Source organism: Homo sapiens, chromosome 11, assembly GCF_000001405.40.
Source record: "Homo sapiens chromosome 11, GRCh38.p14 Primary Assembly".
NCBI classification, from domain to species: domain Eukaryota; kingdom Metazoa; phylum Chordata; class Mammalia; order Primates; family Hominidae; genus Homo; species Homo sapiens.
The window spans coordinates 127,876,742-127,895,395 of record NC_000011.10 but is presented as its reverse complement, the minus strand read 5'-3'; positions in this window follow the sequence as shown (position 1 = coordinate 127,895,395).

The following is an 18,654-nucleotide window of genomic DNA, read 5'->3' as shown; positions in this document are numbered from 1 at the left end:
TATTATATAAGTCAGGTACCTTGGTGCTTTCATTTGAAAAATTCATAGTGTTACTGCTTCTCATGGATGAGTGGATAAGAATCAGAGAAAAAAACAAATTTTGAATCATAATGACATAAATGTCAAAATACTCCTTGCAAAATCTTCACTTGGAAAATTCCCATAAACAACATTTACTATTCATATTGGCATATGTGAAGTGCATGCATAATCTTACACTAAATGAATCTGAATACAAATCTAGTTACCTGCGATGTTGTTCCCAGAAAAATATTTTGGGAATCTCAGAAATTCAGGTCATTGTCTGACTATTGCAGAGCCAATTCCATTATCAATCAGAAGTTTTCGTAGTGCTTATCCGGCCTAGTAGATAAAGAGAGATTAGTAAAATGGGGAGGTGCCAGTTAACAGGTATAAGGTTTCAGTAGTGCAAGATGAATAGAGATATGCTGTACAACATTGTGTCTATAGTTTAAAATACTGTATTGTGCACTTAAAAATCTGTTACGAGGGTAGATCTCATGTTAAGTATTCTTATAACAATAAAATAGAAATTAAAGGATGTAGGGGTGCAGATATTTCCCCTTCAAGTTTAAATATTTCTTTGTTTTTGCTCTCATTTGTACCTCAAAGCTTAGTTCTATTTAAAATCACAATGCCAAGAATCTTCTGAGAAACCAGAAACAGTGGAAACTATTGAAATAGAAATGTATTGAGTGAAGGAAGATTATTCAGGAAAGAAAACCCCTCACTTTGAACAAATGAGTGTCTCGGTGACACAAGTCAGACATTCACCACCAGCAACTTCTGTTTTCTCTCTTTATATCTAAAATTTTTTGGAGAAAGTAGCCTTAAATTTCTATTCCCTAGTGGCTGGAATGCCCGCCAGAGCCTCATCATTACCATAGGAAAATATCTGTTTAAAGACCATCTGTTCTTCAGTGTGTCTATTGAAAATGAGTTGAGAGATATGTAGCAAACAGTTTTTGTGTATAGAAAAAAATCACTTTAAAAATGAGTGAAAATTGAATCAATGTTAAATCTATGTTGATACCATACCCATTCATTTGCTATTTTGTTTGTTTGTTTGTTTGTTTGTTTGAGACAATGGCTTGCTCTGTCGCCAGGCTGGAGTGCAGTGGCACTATCTCGGCTCACAGCAAGCTCCACCTCCCGGGTTCACGCCATTCTCCTGTCTCAGCCTCCTGAGTAGCTGGGACTATTCTCGCATGCCACCACGCCCAGCTAATTTTTGTATTTTTAGTAGAGACAGAGTTTCACCATGTGAGCCAAGATGGTCTAGATCTCTTGACCTTGTGATCCTCCCACCTTGGCCTCCCACAGTGCTGGGATTACAGGAGTCAGCCACCGTTCCCGACCGGCCCCATTTGCATTTTTTTTTTTACTAGGAGAAGAAAGGGTTGAAGCTTAAGATCTGACTAGTGCCCTGGACATTGTATAGATGTATACCATTCCAGTTTATATGCGTGACATCACTTCTTCTTCCAGTTGCATTCTTACTTCGTTGGGCCGATTACAAATAATTATAGAGATACATTACATCCTTTAGAAATTTTAGTGGGGAGGGTCACTGAAATCTGGGTAGATCAATATATTCATATGAATGCAATTTTTATATGAATTTTAAGAAAAATTTGTAGGGAAAAAAAGATGGTGACCTACTGAGCTACTTGATGCCCTGAGGTTTAAGGAGTTGAGTGCATATCATACAAGCACCTATGCAGACTAGTCTGGAGTGGGAAGACCCCATGGATCCGGGGTAAACAGAGAAATCTTTAGGTGACAGCATCTACCAGGTATGTTCCATGAACTGCTAGTTCCACCAAATGGTCATACAAGTTGCAGGTCATGAAGGGCTTCTTGGTACCTTGGTTTGGAAATTGCTAAATAGTTTAAGCTAAGTTAACTGAGTGATTTTAATACCATAATTTTCAGATTCTCTAGCAAACTAAGTTGTATTATGAATCTCCAAAGAGACTACGGGTATATGCAATATTTCTCAAACCTTTTTGGATTTAAATCCCCTTCTCTCTCTCTTTTTTTTTTTTTTTTTGGATGGAGTCTCACTCTGTCACCCGGGCTGGAGTGCATTGACACGATCTTGGCTTACTACAACCTCTGCCTCCTGGGTTCAAGCAATTCTCCTTCCTCAGCCTCCTGAATAGCTGGGACTACAGGCACCCGCCACTAAGCCCAGCTAATTTTTTGTATTTTTAGTAGAGACAGGGTTTCACCATATTGCCCAGACTGGGCTCTCTTTTTTTTTTTTTTTTAAAGTATCTCTCATAACCAATGTTCCACAGAATACAATTTGGAACGTGCTATAAAAAGAATGGGGAGAAATGGAGAATCTATGAGGTTAACAGTAATAACTAACATTTGTATGTGTCTTGTAGTTTATAAAATCCTTCCTCATTCATTAGCTCTTTTACTCCTTAGGAAAATTTTATAGGAAAAAATAGCTCAAGGACATTAAGTGGCTCTCTAAAATATATGCAGTGATAAAAAGGTCGAGTTTCGATTTGGCTCTAGGTTTTCTGACTTTAGTTCAAATATCCTGTCACTATACTATGTCACTATATTACGCTCAGTGAAGATATCATCTTTTGTTTCAATGTTTGCCTTTTGTTTCAATGATTGTCCTACATACTATTTCTCAGTGTTAGTATAATTAGGACTTTCTGCACCAGAGCAAGTTCCACGAGTTATATGTCCTCAGCCTCCATCTTCTTTCTCCATGAAACCTCCCTCTCTGTAGTTCCACCTTTGCCAGATGTTCCAGCAGAAATAAACAACGTACTCAAAGGAGGTCATGAAAGAGTTTTAGTAAAGAGACTTTTTACAAAAATGGGGAGTGGAATACGAGAAACCAGAAGAGGATGGTCAGTCTCCCAGGGCTAGCAGTAACTCATAGCTCTCACTGCAATGCCTGAAAAGCAAAAGATGAACAGTCTGTAGCCACAGGGGAGAGAACCTGTGTACAGGGGGTTTCTCAGCAAAAGGAAACAGCCAAGCTATGGTGAAATGGAATGGAGGGCGAGAAGAGAATAAATACTCTGATTTTACTCTCCTCCCACTTTTTGATCCCTTGTGAGTCCCTGAAATTAGCCAAAATCAACAAGAAGCCAAAGGACAGGAGAACTTCTTGATGCAGTCCATAGACGTCAGCCACCCAGGTCACCAAGTAGGATGGTGAAGAAGTAACCTGGATGTAAAGGAATACAAGGAACGTATTCAGCATCCCAGGTAATCAACACTGTCAAACTCTTTTAAGGACATAAAATGGACCTTAGACATTTAACTTCCACCCATCAGGTAAGCAGGAGAGGAAGTCATTAGGAGAAAGCTGGAAACCATATTGCTCAACATTTACAGGGATAATAATTTTTTGTAGTGTCTTAGTTAAACAACTTTGGTCTCATAAGAAGCATCTCAGAATTGACTTTTCATTCTAGCCACAGGCAGAAGTAGCAGCCAGCATGAGAATTATGCTATACTACCTGGTTCTCATCACCTACTGGGTATATTTCTTTCTGCTAGAAAAGTACCATCTGACATTCACCCGAGCCATCAGCCCCTTCTTATTCTAAAGGTCCAGTTATACCTTAGATGGGAGAGATTCACATTATTCCAGCATCAACACAGCATTGAGTCAATTTGTTGTCAGCTTCTCCAGATTTTGTACTTAAGGAGATCAGTCACTGCCTAATTAATTAGATTTCAGCTCCAACATCCAATTCTTAATAACCAGGTTCCTGTCATTGTACTGTGTCCAAGCATAGCAGAGAGAAACAGGCAGAGGCAGAAGGAGGTAGAAAAAATAAGAACGAGAGAGAACGATCGAATTCTACTTCTTACATATTTGGGGCTTATTTTGCAAGTCTTCAGATGTTTATTAATTTGCGAGTCTTAGAATTAATTCAAGAAAAAAATCCCACATTAATATCAGAAGATTGTTGGTTGCAATAGATATCTGTGAAATTAGTTTAATTAATCAAAAATGGTACTTTGAGCTTACATGTTGTCCCCAGGTTCTGCTGACCTACCCTCTACAACTTTTTTTCTTTTCTTTTTTTTTTTGAGACAGAGTCTCACTCTGTCACCCAGGCTGGAGTGCAGTGGTGAGATCTCAGCTCACTGCAATATCCACTTCCCTGATAGAAACAATTCCTCTGCTTCAGCCTCCCGAGTAGCTGGTAGCTGGGATTACAGGCACATACCACCATGCGCAGCTAGTGTGTTTGCATTTTTAGTAGAGATGGGGTTTCATCATGTTAGCTAAACTGGTCTCAAACTCCTGACCTCAGGCAATTTGCCCACCTCAGCCTCCCAAAGTGCTAGGATTACAGGCATGAGTCACCGCGCCCAGCCTACAACTTTTCAAGAAATGAAATCTTTAGTTTTCTTTTAAGATTTCCAAATGTCTAACAGCCAAATAACAGTTGATATAATCCATTATTTTCTTCAAATGAGGTAACCCACAGTTGTATTTATGAGTCTGTTGACCTCAGGAAACTTTTCTGACCAGGGCCTGCTGCTGACTGGACCCTTCTTAGAACATTGATAGAGTATGCATGGCTCTGTTTTACTAATTATACTTAATATGGGTCTCAACCTAGGGTGATCCCTATATAAAGGACATGCCGAGCCCTCACCAACACTTCACAAAAAAAAAAAAAAAAAAAAAAAAAAAAAAAAAAAAATCCTTATTTGCTCTCCTGAAAAAATGATTCAAAGATTTCCAAGCCTTTATAATAGGTTTATCTTCCTTTTGCTACAGCTTAAAAGTGAAATGTCCTAAGTACCCCACCCAGACCTCTGGACCTCAAAAATGATAGTTGTCTAATGCCTGAATTCTTCCCTATTCTGGAAGCAAAGGATGAAACCCTCCCCAGGCCACAGCCAAGGATATTCAGAGTACTGATTTCATAACCTTGGTTTCCTGGTTTCCCCTGGCAACCATCAGTTCTTCCAAAGTTACAGTGGAGAACAAATTAGAAGCAGCAAAGTAGGAGGGGTGCTGTTAGAAGCAAGCACACTGGAAAGTGACAAGTGTCAGAAACAGAAGGGACAGAAGATACATTAACTGGAAATGTCTAGCAGCCTACAGCCAGTAAGTGTTGGCCACACAGCCCTTAGTTCCACAATCATCCCTGAGGGCATCTCTATATTTGAGCCATACCAATGGCCCTGAATCATCAAGAAAAGATTAAGTTATGTCAAGAATATTCTGTTTAGTAAGGAAAATAAGTTTGCAATACATTTTAGAAAGATTTCCATCAAAATGATTATATATACATGGTATATTTAAATTATGAAGCTTTAGTTATCTGGAAAATTCAAATAATGGGAACATTTAATAGTTGGAAATGCTGAATATGAGTTTTTTTTTTTTTTGTATAGGGTTATTTCTTCTCAGGGACCAAAGGCAGGTGCTGGGAGGTGCCTTGCTTGCTCATTGGTATAACAGATGTCAATTCCCCTTGTCCCAGGATGGAGTTTGCCTGATCTTTCCAAGTCATGTGAGTGGAGGAGAACACAAATTGGTGGCACAGTGAAGAAGGAATGGATAGAAACGAAAGATGCGTGTTTAACAAGTGGCAATGCTAGAATATAAATGTTGGAAAGAGAATAGTTGGAAAAACAACCAATCTAGTAAGTGATTGTTTCCTCAGCTTTTCCTCATTTCTCTGCCTCCCTCTGCCTCTTGTCCTCATTTCTAAGTATCTACTTTCCTTTCTGAAATAGCTACCAATTCCAGAAGCAACTGAGCTTATTCAACAGAATTTCACCCTTCTTATCAATCTGTAGGTAAATAGAGAACCAGTCTCTGTCTCTGTCTCTCTGTCTCTCTCTGTTTCTCTCTCCCTCTCTTTTGTCTATCTATCTCTGTCTCTCTCTGTCTCTATATGTCTCTATGTGTGTCTCCCTCTGTCTCTGTCTCTTTGGCTCTCTCTGTCTCTGTCGCTGTCTTTATCTCTCTTTCTCCCCAACATCATTCCCTCTGTGCCTCACTTTTCTAATATGTCTGGCTAAAAATTAGAGGGGACAGGACTGAATCTGAGGTAACTCTTCTTGTAATTTGGACTGCATATAATTCCATCTCCAAGGTAGCTTTGAAGCTAACAATTGAAAACTTTTAAGATAACATTTTAATTTCCTTAAAATAAGGAGTAACAATTGTTATGTCTAAACAGCATTGTATTTCAGGTTCTGGTCAGTGCAAAGTAAAAGTACAAAAATTATTGGAATGGAAGAAACAGAATTATCATTACTCTCAAATAATATGAATTTATAGATAAATTTACTAAAATTAATTTTTAAAAGTTGATCATTGTTGGTAAGTGTACAAGAGCAATGTAGAAAATTCAACAGTTAGAATATGTAATCTGAGAAAAAAGAAGCCCATTTCCAATGAAAACATAATATAAGTTTCCCTGGAAAAATGATTTTCAAAACATGTGCAAGACTTTCATGGAAATCATTATATCAGTACAAAATGAATAGACATTAAAGAAGACCTAAATAAATGGAGACCTAAATAATTGGAGAGACTTACATTGCTCATAATAGAAAACACAAATACTAACTTTCCTCACAACCTATTTTGTTTTTGGATACCATGAAATGTGCCCATATTGTGGCAGGCCAGGTCTCACTAATGGCAGAAGAGGCAGACCTCCATGACAACTGTTTCAGCACTGACTGAGTGGTAAAGTTAAATATTAAAAGCTGAGAGAGCCAGTGCCCTTATACAAAGGCTGGAATGTAACAAAATCCCATCAAGTTTTGCCCAGGCCTTTCCTGGGTCTTGAAGCATGACAACAAAATGAAGAAATTCTTAACAGGACTCATTTAAGATTAAACAAGTTTTAGTGCAGGTCTGAAGAAACTCCTCAGCCTTCCACAAACAAGTTTTATTGGGATCTGAAGGAACTCCCCAAGCCTTCATGATTTAGCAGGAGACAAAATAAGGGAATCACCCCAGCAACTGGACCCATCTAGATTAAGTACATTTACTGAGGCTCCAGAGGAAGGTCTTCAGGACTCAAACCTTAGTTATAGATTAGAAGAAGTTACACAGTTACACGCAGACATATAGCTTAGAAGGTATATAAGCTCTGGAAAACCTCTTAATTTTGAATTGGTCTGGCAATATTTTCCTGGCCTTCTCCCTGTACTCGGTTACAGAAATAAACTCTCTTCTTTCCCAGTTCACCTGCATCTTATTATTGGGCTGCGAGAATAAGTATCCCAATCCTTGGTTCGGTCTGGGAACAATATAAGATAGCAAACTTATTTGATAAATGTTGGGTGTATTCTGATGATCCCCCATCTCTCTCCCTCTCCTTGGGCCCTCCTATTCCCTGAGACAAAACAGTATTAAAATTATGGCAGTTAATAACCCTAAAATGGCTTCTAAGTGTTCAGATGATAAAGAGTCACATGTCTCTCACTTTAAATCAAAAGCTGGAAATGATTAAGGCATGTTGAAAACCTAGATAGGCTGAAATCTAGACCCCTTTCACCATTTAGCAAAGTTCTGCCTGCAAAGAAGAGTTCTCAAAGAAGATTAAAAGTGTTAATCCAGTGAACACACAAATGAAAAGAAAGCAAAACAGCCTTATGGAAAATATAGAGAATGTTTTAGTGATGTGGATAAAATATCAAGCCAGACACAATATTCCCTGAGGAAAAAGCCTAACACAGAGCAAGATCCTAACTCTCTTCACTTCCTTGAAGGCTGAGAGACATGAGGACACTGTAGAAGGAAAGTTTGAATCTATCAATCAGAGGTTGGTTGATGAGATTTAAGTGGTCATCTCCATAACGTAAAAGCGCAAGGTGAAGCAGCAAGTGCTGATGCAGAAGCCTCAGCAAATTATCCAGAACATAGCTAAGATCATTGAAGAAGCTGGCTACATTAAACAACAGATTTTCCATGTAGATGAAACAGCCTTTTCTCAGAGGAAGATGCCATATAGGACTTTCATAGTTAAAGAGAATAAGTCAATGCCTGTCTTCAAAGCTTCAAAGCCTTAGCTAAAGCTGACAAAGGCTAACTGTTTTATCTGGGCACAATGCAGCTGGCGACTTTAAGTCGAAGCCAATGTTCATTTATTATTTTAAATATCTTAGGGCCCTTAAAAATGTCACTAAATCTTTTATGTCTGTACTATATAAATAGGACAATCAAGCCTGGGTGACAGCTCATCTTTTTAAAGCATGGGTTATTGAATATTCTACGCCCAATGTTGAGACCTGCTGCTAAGAAAAAAAGATTGCTTTCAAAATATTACTGCTCAATGACAATGCACCTGGTCATCCAAGAGCTCTGATGGACATATACAAGGAGATTAATGTAGTTTTCATGCTTACTAACAACATTCATTCTGTAGCCTATGGATAAAAGAGCAAGGATCAGTTTCAACCTTTCAAGTTTTATTATTCAAGAAATACATTTTGTAAGGCTACAGCTGCCATAGATAGTGACTCCTCTTATGGATTTGGCCAAAGTAACTTGAAAGCCTTCCAGAATAAATTTACCATTCTAGACATCATTAAGAATAGTCATAATTCATGAGAGGAGGTCAAAAGGTAAACATTTGCAAGAGTTTAGAAGTTGATTCCAATCCTCATGGAGAACATTGAGGGTTTGATATGGATTGGCTGTGTCCTCACCCAAATCTCATCTTGAATTCCCGTGTGTTGTGGGAGGGACCCCGTGGAAGGTAATTGAATCATGGGGGCAAGTCTTTCTTGTGCTGTTCTCATGATAGTGAATTAGTCTCATGCAATCTAATGGCTTTATTAAGAGGAGATCCCTAGCACAAGCTCTCTTTCTTTTCCTGCTGCCATCCATGTAAGATGTGACTTGCTCCTTCCTTCTGCCCTGATGTGAGGCCTCTTCAGCCATGTGGAACTTTAAGTTCAATAAATGTCTTTCTTTTGTAAATTGCCCAGTCTCAGGTATGTCTTTTTTAGCAGCGTGAGAACAGACTAATACAGTACATTAGTACCAGGGTGGGGTGCCACTGAAAAGAGACCCAAAAATGTGGAAGTGACTTTGGAACTGGGTAACAGGCAGAGGTTGGAACAGTTTGGAGGGCTCAGAAGAGGACAGGAAAATATGGGAAAGTTTGGAACTTCCTAGAGACTTGTTGAATGGCTTTGACGAAAATTCTGATGGTGATATGAACAATGAAGTCCAGACAGAGGTGGTCTCAGATGAGAATTAGGAATGTGTTGGGACTTGGAGCAAAGGTGACTCTTGTTATGTTTTAGCAAACAGACTGGTGGGATTTTGCTCCTGCCCTAGAGATTAGTGAAAGTTTGAACTTGAGAGAGATTATTTAGAGTGTCTGACAAAAGAAATTTCTAAGCAGCAAAGCATTCAGGAGGTGACTTGGATGCTGTTAAAGGCATTCAGTTTTATAAGGGAAGCAGAGCATAAAAGTTTGGAAAATTTGCAGCCTGACCACACAATAGAAAAGAATATCCCATTTTCTGAGGAGAAATTCAAGCCAGCTGCAGGAATTTCCATAAGTAACAAGGAGCCGAATGTTAATCCCCAAGACAATGGGGGAAAATGTCTCAAGGGCATGTCAGAGGTCTTCATGGCAGCCCTTCTCATCACAGGCCTGGAAGCCTAAGAGAAAGAAATGGTTTTGTGGGCTGGGCCCAGGGTCTGTGTGTTGTGTACAGTCTAGGACTTAGTGTTCTGCATCTCAGCTGCTCTAGTCATGACTAAAAAGGGCCAAGATACAGCTCGGGCTGTGGCTTCAGAGGGTGCAAGCCCCAAACCTTTTCAGTTTCCACGTGATGTTGAGTCTGTGGATGCACAGAAGTCAAGAATTGAGGCTTGGGAACCTCCACCTAGATTTCAGAGGATGTATAGAAATGCCTGGATGTCCAGGCAGAAGTTTGCTGCAGGGGCGGGGCTCTCATGGAGAACTTCTGCTAGGGCAATGCAGAAGAGAAATGTGGGGTTGGACCCCCTATACAGAGAGGGTCTGCACCTGGAAAAGCCCCAGACACTGAACGCCAGCCTGTGAAAGCAGCCAGGGGGGAGGCTGTACCCTGTAGAGCCACAGGGGTGGAACTGCCCAAGACCATGAGAACCCACCTCTTGCTTTAGCATGACCTGGATGTGAGACATGGAGTCAAAGGAGATAATTTTGAAGCTTTAAGACTTGACTGCCCCGCTGGATTTTGGACTTGCATGCGGCCTGTAGCCACTTTGTTTTGGCCAATTTCTCCCATTTGGAATGGCTGTGTTTACTCAATGCCTGTACCCCCCATTGTATCTAGGAAGTAACTAACTTGCTTTTGATTTTACAAGCTCATAGATGGAAGGGACTTGCCTTGTCTCAGAGGAAACTTTGGACTGTGGACTTTTGAGTTAAGGCTGAAATGAGTTAAAGACTTTTGGGGACTGTTGGAAAGGCATGATTGGTTTTGAAATGAGAAGACATGACATTTTGGAGGGGCCAGGAGCAGAATGATATGGTTTGGCCCTGTGTTCTTACCCAAATATCATCTTGTAGCTCCTATAATTCCCATGTATTGTGGGAGGGACCTGGTGGGATGTAATTGAATCAAGGGGACAAGTCTTTTCCATGCTGTTTTCATGATAGTGAATAAGTACCATGAGAGCAGATGGTTTTATTAAGAAGAGTCCCCTGCACAAGTTCTCTCTCTTTTCCTGCTGCCATCCATGTAAGATGTGACTTTCACCCTCATCTGTCAGCAGCCAACAATATTGAGGCAAGACCCTCCACCCGCAACAAGATTACTGCCTGCTGAAATCTAAGATAATCATTAGCATTTTTTTTTTAGCAATAAGGATTTTTAAATTAGGGTAAGCAAGTACATTGTTCTTTTTATACATAATGCTAGTACAAGCTTCCTGACTGCAGTATAGTGTAAATGTAACTTCCATAAACATGGGTAAGACAAAAAATATATATGATAGATTATTGTAATATTTGCCTTATTGCTGTGGTCTGGAGTCAATTCCCAATCCTTCTGTGAGGTATTCCTTGATAGATAGATAGATAGATAGACAGACAGACATATATACATGTGTTTACATGCACACATATATGTTTCATATATAATTTAATTTATAATAAAGGTGTAAAATTTGTATTGATGTGTTGAATTTTACATTTTTTAAATCCTGATTATTTTGATTTCTATACTGGAGACAGAAGTGAAAACTCGCAATTTGTTTTTATACGTTATTTCTGCAACTCTGTTTTCCCAGGGAAATATTAAATATAAGCCTTATAGAGTTCCACAGTTTCTACAGTTTCTATATGCAAAGCTGAAGCCTGGAAGCATACTTTCTAAGTTCATTCATTCAAAATAAAATAACTTGGTGAACTTGTAGCAGGTGGCAGGGCCATCAATGAATGATAAATGAATCCTGTCCACTTGTCACTTAAAGTCTGTCCTCCTATACTGGAATGCTTCTGTTAGCACTCCATCCCCTGATACACTTTTTCACTCTTCCTTGTTTCACTTTGTTTCTTGAGATGCTCACCTTTACCACAGTCCTGAGTTCCCTTTCCCTCCAGCTTCTGGTCGGAGTTGGCCAATGAGAGACTCTGGTATAAGATTGGATGGCTCCTGGAGAGGGTATTTATCACTCCCTTTTATTCCCCCCCTGCCCTGCCAAGACTCCAATAATAGCTACCATCTTCCTAGAGGCTACAGCACTGATAGACGGCTTGTCATAGCTGCAGCTTTCACCAGGTTTTGAAGTCAGTGTTCCCTCCCTTTGCCCTTTCAGGACGAGGAGTGTTAAGAGCTTTCCACTCCTCCTAATCCTGGCTGCTTCATCATTCCTTCTGGGTAAATTTATTTCTTCCCTTTCTTAAGAAAAACCCTTATGAGTGTGCCAGCCACTTACCTCTACTTACAATCTAAGGTTGGTACCTGAAATAAAGCCGACAACATGTGGATCTGACACATTTGAAGTACTGTTCTTATTCTCTTGGTCTCACCTGTGTCTCAGATGCTCAGCACTTCTACAACACAGAAAATGCTACCACACGCTGAATTCCATGTGAGTTCATGGGTTGCTATCTCCAGCTGCCTCCAGGCACATGCCCTGGATCTGCAGCTCCTCCTGCCACTTCCAGAAATCAGGTAAAATTCAAGGCAGGATGTGGGGCTTGGTTCCCTGTATTGACGCCAAAAGGCTCCGTGGCATAAATCAAGAAGTGCAGAGGATTAACTCCCCTGCGAGGTGAGCAGGGACCAGTGGGAGAGAGAAGACGGGAGGAAACAGGGCAGAAGCTCTGTCTCCTTTGACTCCTCTGATTCCCAGCCAGTTCTGCAATGTTCACTGTGGCCAAGCAGGTGCAAGTGTGGAGCTGTGTCTCCTCACTGTCAGGAAGAGGGGAAGCAGTGGTTGGTAGGGCAACACAACTCCTTGGATCCGCCTCCCATCCCTTCCTACTTCATTTTCCTTTTTTCTCACTCCCACTGCCCTGGGATGCTATGGTTCAAGCAGATCTCTCTGAGGAAGTTACATTTAAATTGAGACTTGATGGATAAGAAGCAAGTCATAAGAACAATATCTTGATGGAAGAGAAGAGCAATAACCATTGTTTTAAGGCAAGAGAGAGTGTGTTTGTGGAATGGCCGGAACACCAGTGTGAATGAAGCGTAGTGAGAGGGAGGGAATGGGGAGTGAGCTAATGTCGGAGAAGCTGACAGGAGTATTAAGCCCATAAATATGTTAAATTTAGTCTAAGTGCAACAAGTGAACTAGGAAATTCTTGGACACGTTAAACAGGAAATGGTCATAATCCGATTTGCATTTTAAAATCCTACTCCGGCTGTCATGTAGAAATGGCCTTTCATGGGACAGTAACTAAACTGAGGAAACAGAAACTTAAGGACTGTGGTAAACTTGAACTGAAGTGGTGGCAGAGACCAAGGAGAGAAGTGGTATGATACAGAATGCATTCTGGAGGAAAAAAACATGTCCAGGTTATAAATCAGATATGGGAGCTGAGAGAACAGAAGTGCAGAGTCTGACACCAAGGCTTTTGAATTAGTAAATCAATGGATGAGGATGGGTCATTTACTGAAAGAGACACATTTTGGGGGAAGTCTAGGTGGTGAAGGGGCTGGTAATAAAGAGTTCCATTTTTTTTCATGCTGAGTTTGAGGTATTTATGATACATCAAAGTACAGATATCAAGCAAAAATTAGAAACACAGAATTGCCGAACAATATCATTGGTAGGCGTTATTATAAAGTGAGTATTTAAAGTCATAGGGAAGGGTTATATCATTCAAGAATTAATGGTAGAAAAATAATAAAAGCCTATGTCAGCCTTTGCAGAACAGGAGAAGTTAGTAAGAAAAGAGATTAAGAAGGATCTGTCAGAGAGGTAGGGGGAATGCATTCTTTCCATATGATTGAGAGGAGAGTGTTTCAAACAGGGAGTGATCAACTAAGTTGCATGCTGTTGGCCTGTAGAGCTACAGGAAGACCAAGAATACTCCATTCAACTTCATGGAAATCACTGATGGCTGAAAGCAGAAAATTTAGTGGAGTGGCAAGACGGAAAGTCAGAAGAGTGAGAAAAGAGAAAAAGACAACATCAAAATTACCTTTCATATTCAACAAATTGGCAAAAATTAAGCAAATTAATTACACCAAGTGCTGTTGAGCATGTGAGGAAACAGGAATTCTCACACATACACTTCAGGAGGCTTTGTAAATTAGGAAAACCTGTTTTGGAAGGCAACTTGGCAATACAGGAGTCAGGGAAGTGGAGTATACCTATCAATATGACTTGGCTCTTTACTTCTTACTATGTACCCCGGAGAAACTTGCCCACATGCACAAGTGACATATGCAAGGCTGATCACTGAAGCCCTGTGATAATAAAGATTCAACGGAGATGGTCTGACTGTCCATCCACATGGAATGGCTAAAATCATCTTATTCAAACAATGATATAATATAGATAGCAAGTAAAATGTAAGAAATTAATCTACATCAGTATGAATACATTTCAAAACAAAATGTTGAGTTAAAGAGCATCGTCAATAATTGCATAATAGTAATAACATTGGTAATTAATAATTATTACTAATAATTGCATAAATATCATTTACAAAAATTTAAAGACATGGCATTGTGTTTAAAAATTGTGAGTGTATATGTATATAGAAACATGAAATTTTTAAATGTTCATGGGAAGGATATACATCAACTTCAGGAAAATGGTTACCTCTAGATTGGGGAGGGAAAAGATAATAGAACAGACCTTTAGTTATTTCTGTAATACTTTAATTCTTAAAACTAAAAGGGAGACATCTGAGAAAATACAGAAAAATGTTAATATCTTTCTTTCAATCTTGGTAGGGGTTGCTTGACTATTATATTATTTTTTGCAGTTTTATATGTTTAGAATATTTCTTCATTCTTATTTTTTTTAATAAATGATAGATGAGGAGGTAGAGGAAATGAGTCTAGAGGATTTGATCAGATAATTTGTCTCCTGGTTGATCTCATCAAGACCTCTAACTTTAAGCAGCGCCAATATGTGCACTCTCTCTCCCCTGAGAGGTAGGCTGATATGTACATACATCTACTCCACATCTCCATCTGGATATCCAAGGGACCTTCCAAACTTAACTTAGCCTAACAAGCTTTTGGTTCCCCACTTTTACGCCCAACAAAATTTGCTCCTCTTTGTTTCCTTACCTCTGTAACCAATCTCACTCTCCACCCAATTTCCCTGGCTCCAACTTTAGTTTGCATTCATAATTCATCTCTCTCTCTCTTTCTCTCTTATCTCTGCCACCAGCAAGTCATTTTGATGTTAGCTCAAAATATAAATCTTATGGCCAGGTGCACTGGCTCATGCCTGTAATCCCAGCACTTCAAGAGGCCAAGGTGGGAGGATTGCTTGAGGTTGGTAGTCTAACACCAACCTGGACAAAGTAGTGAGAGCCCATTTCTATAAAATATTTTTTAAAATTAGCTGGGCATGATGGTCTGTGCCTGTATTCCTAGCTACTTGGGAAGCTGAGACACTAGGATTGCTTAAGACCAGAAGTCTAAGGTTACAGTGAGTAATGATAATTCCACTACACTCCAGCCTGTCTCAAAAAATCTATATTTCTATATCTGTATCTATCCATATATCTCCAGAATCTACCATTGCCCATCACTTCAACTGTTGCCATCTTAGTCCAAGCCACTGTCTTCTCTTCCCTGCTCTGTGGCAATGGGTGTTTCTTTTGTTACTCATTCTCACTCTATAGTTCAACAATAGCACTGGTATCTTTTAAAATGTGAATCACGGCCATGCGCGGTGCATCACACCTGTAATTCCAGCATTTTGGGAGGCCGAGGCGGGCAGATCACGAGGTCAGATTGAGACCTGGCTAACACGGTGAAACCCCATCTCTACTAAAAGTACAAAAAAAAAAAAAAAAAAAAAAAATTAACCTGGCGTGGTGGCACGCAGCTGTTGTCCCAGCTACTCAGGAGGCTGAGGCAAGAGAATCGCTTGAACCTGGGAGGCAGAGGTTGCAGTGAGCCGAGATTGTGCCACTGCACTACAGCCTGGGTGACAAAGCAAGACTCCATCTCAAAAAATAAAAATAAAAAAAAAGTGAATCACATCATGCCACCATCCTGGTCAAACTCACGAAAGAAACAAAATACAGGTTCCTTTCTGTGGTCTCCATAAAGCCAAAGGAATTTTTATATTTTATAGAATCTCAATATACATATTTGTTGGATAAATAAATGAATGGGAGGAAACATTACTGAAGGAATAAGGAAATTGAGTTGGTGCAAGATGATGGGCACAAGTGGAGGAACGAGCGTTTAACAGTAGGTGAAATGTCACTCCAGCGTGACAAGAGAAATGCTGGAGGAGATGGTTGAGGCTTTGGTGGAAGGAAGTAAAGGATTTCCTGCTTGATGGGTTTTATTTCCTCAGTGAAATGTGAGGCAACGCCAGCAACTGCCAGGATGTGTGGAATGTAGGATATGTCTAAGGAGAGAGGAGAAAGCATGCATCAAAGAACACAAAATCAAAATTTCTGCCAAAGTAGGATTTCCAACATGTTTACTGCCTATTATGGCTTAGTATTCATGAATTTATTTTTAATCCAGTCATCCCCATCATACCATTTTCTTGTAATATTTAACTGCTTGAGTGCAGGCACAGAAAAGATGGAAAGTTTGTTCTGATAAGCTGGAGTTTTTACTGGAGTAGAAGAGAGGAAGGAGGGAGGGGATAGTAGATAGTGATTGTATCTGATGATGGATGGTAAAATCTAAGCTGGGCAAAGAGTACAGTGAAGATAGGAGGGAGGTTAGGAATAGAGAGAATTGATGGTGTTCACGGATTGGAGATTTAGACGTGATATGAATTGCAGCAGGGTGAGAATGAGATAAAGGAATACTTGGTATAAAGATTACAAAGATGAAACACCAGTGTGATATTGACAACCTTATGTTTGATATTTGACCGGATTTCCTGGCATAAAATTCCTAAAATCCTTGGAATTTTGAAAGTGCTGTCTTTTCGTGTGCTAGTGAATGACTGATAGCTTCAGGACAGGGCTGGTCACCAGGAAGACCAAGGCAGGATTAGAGAGCTGGGACTTTCAATTCTACTCCCCAGCCTCCAGGGAGGAGAGAGAAGCTAAAGCTTAAGTTGATCACCAATGGCCAATGGTTTAATCAATCATGCCTAGGAAACGAAGCCTCCACAAAATCCCAAAAGTTCCAGATTCTGAGATCTTCTAGAGGTTCCTGGAGGGTGGTGGGCCTGAGGAGGGCATGGAAGCACTTCACGTCTTCCCCCTACCTCACTCTGTGTGTTTCTTCATCTCTACCCTTTGTAATAGTGTTTGTAATAAACTGGTAAACATAAGTGTTTCTCTGAGTTCTATGAGCTGATCTAGCAAATTAATGAAATCGAAAGAAGGGGTTGTAGGAGCCCCAACTTGAAACCAGTGTCAGAAGCCAGTCAGAAGTTCTCTGAGGCCCAGACTTCAGACTGGTGTCTGATGGAGGGTGGGGCAGTCTTGTGGGACTGAGCCCTCAACGGGTGGGATCTGACACTGTTGCCAGGTAGATAATGTGAGAATTGACTTGGACTACACCAACTGGTGTCTGCTGCAGAACTGACGGGTGTGTGGGGAAACCCCATCCCTCACATTTGGTCACAGAAGCCTTCTGTGTCGATTGTTGAGTAAGAGACTAGAATAAGCATTGTGAGTTTGAGTGTGAGTTTCTTCTTCAGAACCAGCAGCCAGGGGACTGGTTGGCTGATTGTAGGAAAGGGCATTGAAACAGAGGGGATTAGGGTATTGAGCTATATTAAAGAACAACTGAAGATGTTGAATGTTAAAGAAAAAAAGTCCAGTCTTCAGAAAGACAGAGAAAGTTACTAAAAAGTTAACAGGAAGGGATGATGCCATTAACATAAATGTTTGTTTGTTTGCTTATTTGTTTCAGGAGGAAATGGGGAAGGGAGGCATCTAGAAATGTCACTAAAGACAAAAGATTATACTCCCCCATTTTCTGAATGAAGGAATAGAGTCTCACAAATAAACCATCTCTTTTTGAGATGTGGTGGAGAAACAACATTCTCAGGTAATCATTATGCAATGTATACATATATTAAGTTATCACATGTACATATTAAATACATACAGTTATTGTCAATTAGATATTTTTAAATAAATAAATAAATAAGAGATTTTGTTCTGTTTGTTCTGGTACTACCCAGTAAAGTTCAGCTATAATTGGTAATAGTTTTGTCAATGCTTCCATAACTTGGGACAAAGTTTCTTATTTGTTCACTATATTCTCCCTAGTGTTATTTCACTTTTTGAGGATCAAAACCAAAATAGTTCTTACATGGTTTTACTAGCTGTAAAAATGCATTTTTCCTTTGGTATTTGATACTTGCAAAAATAAGAGTTAATAAAGTAGCAAGATATCTGCCCATTGTTGTGTTTAGGGAAATAAAAAATGAAACAGCTACTTAAAAAAATTCAGAATGCTAGTCTTTGGTATCCCCTGCTGTTTGATTTGGGCAAATCATTTAACATGCTTGTTCTGAATTTTTAACCTGTAATGTAAGCTGGACCGTATGATCTCCAAGCATCTACCTAGGTCCAGAATCCTATTTCTTTATATTTATCCTATTTACCACATTGCCTTCTGTATTTTACCAGTTTTCAATTATTTTGGAATTATATCTGCTATTTGCTAAAAATGAACTTTAAATAACTGAGATCCATGTGGTTTTCTTCTGCTTCCCAAAAGACAAAATTGGTGGAAATACAGTAATCTCTACAGATAACTCCTGGTTAGCCACACTAATAGAACTTAGCATCATCGATAAGAATTCAAATATTAAATAATAAAAAAAGTTTCTATTTGAGTTTGGACCACACCTTGATTTATTTATTTTGCAAGTATACTGTCTGAATTACACCATTATAAACTAAACATTATAAATTAAATATTTGCATTCTCTAGGTAATTATCAGTTGAGAGGTATGAGGATGAAGAGTTCTGAACTTTCTAATAGAAGAAGACCAGACTATAATTATTTAAAAATGCATA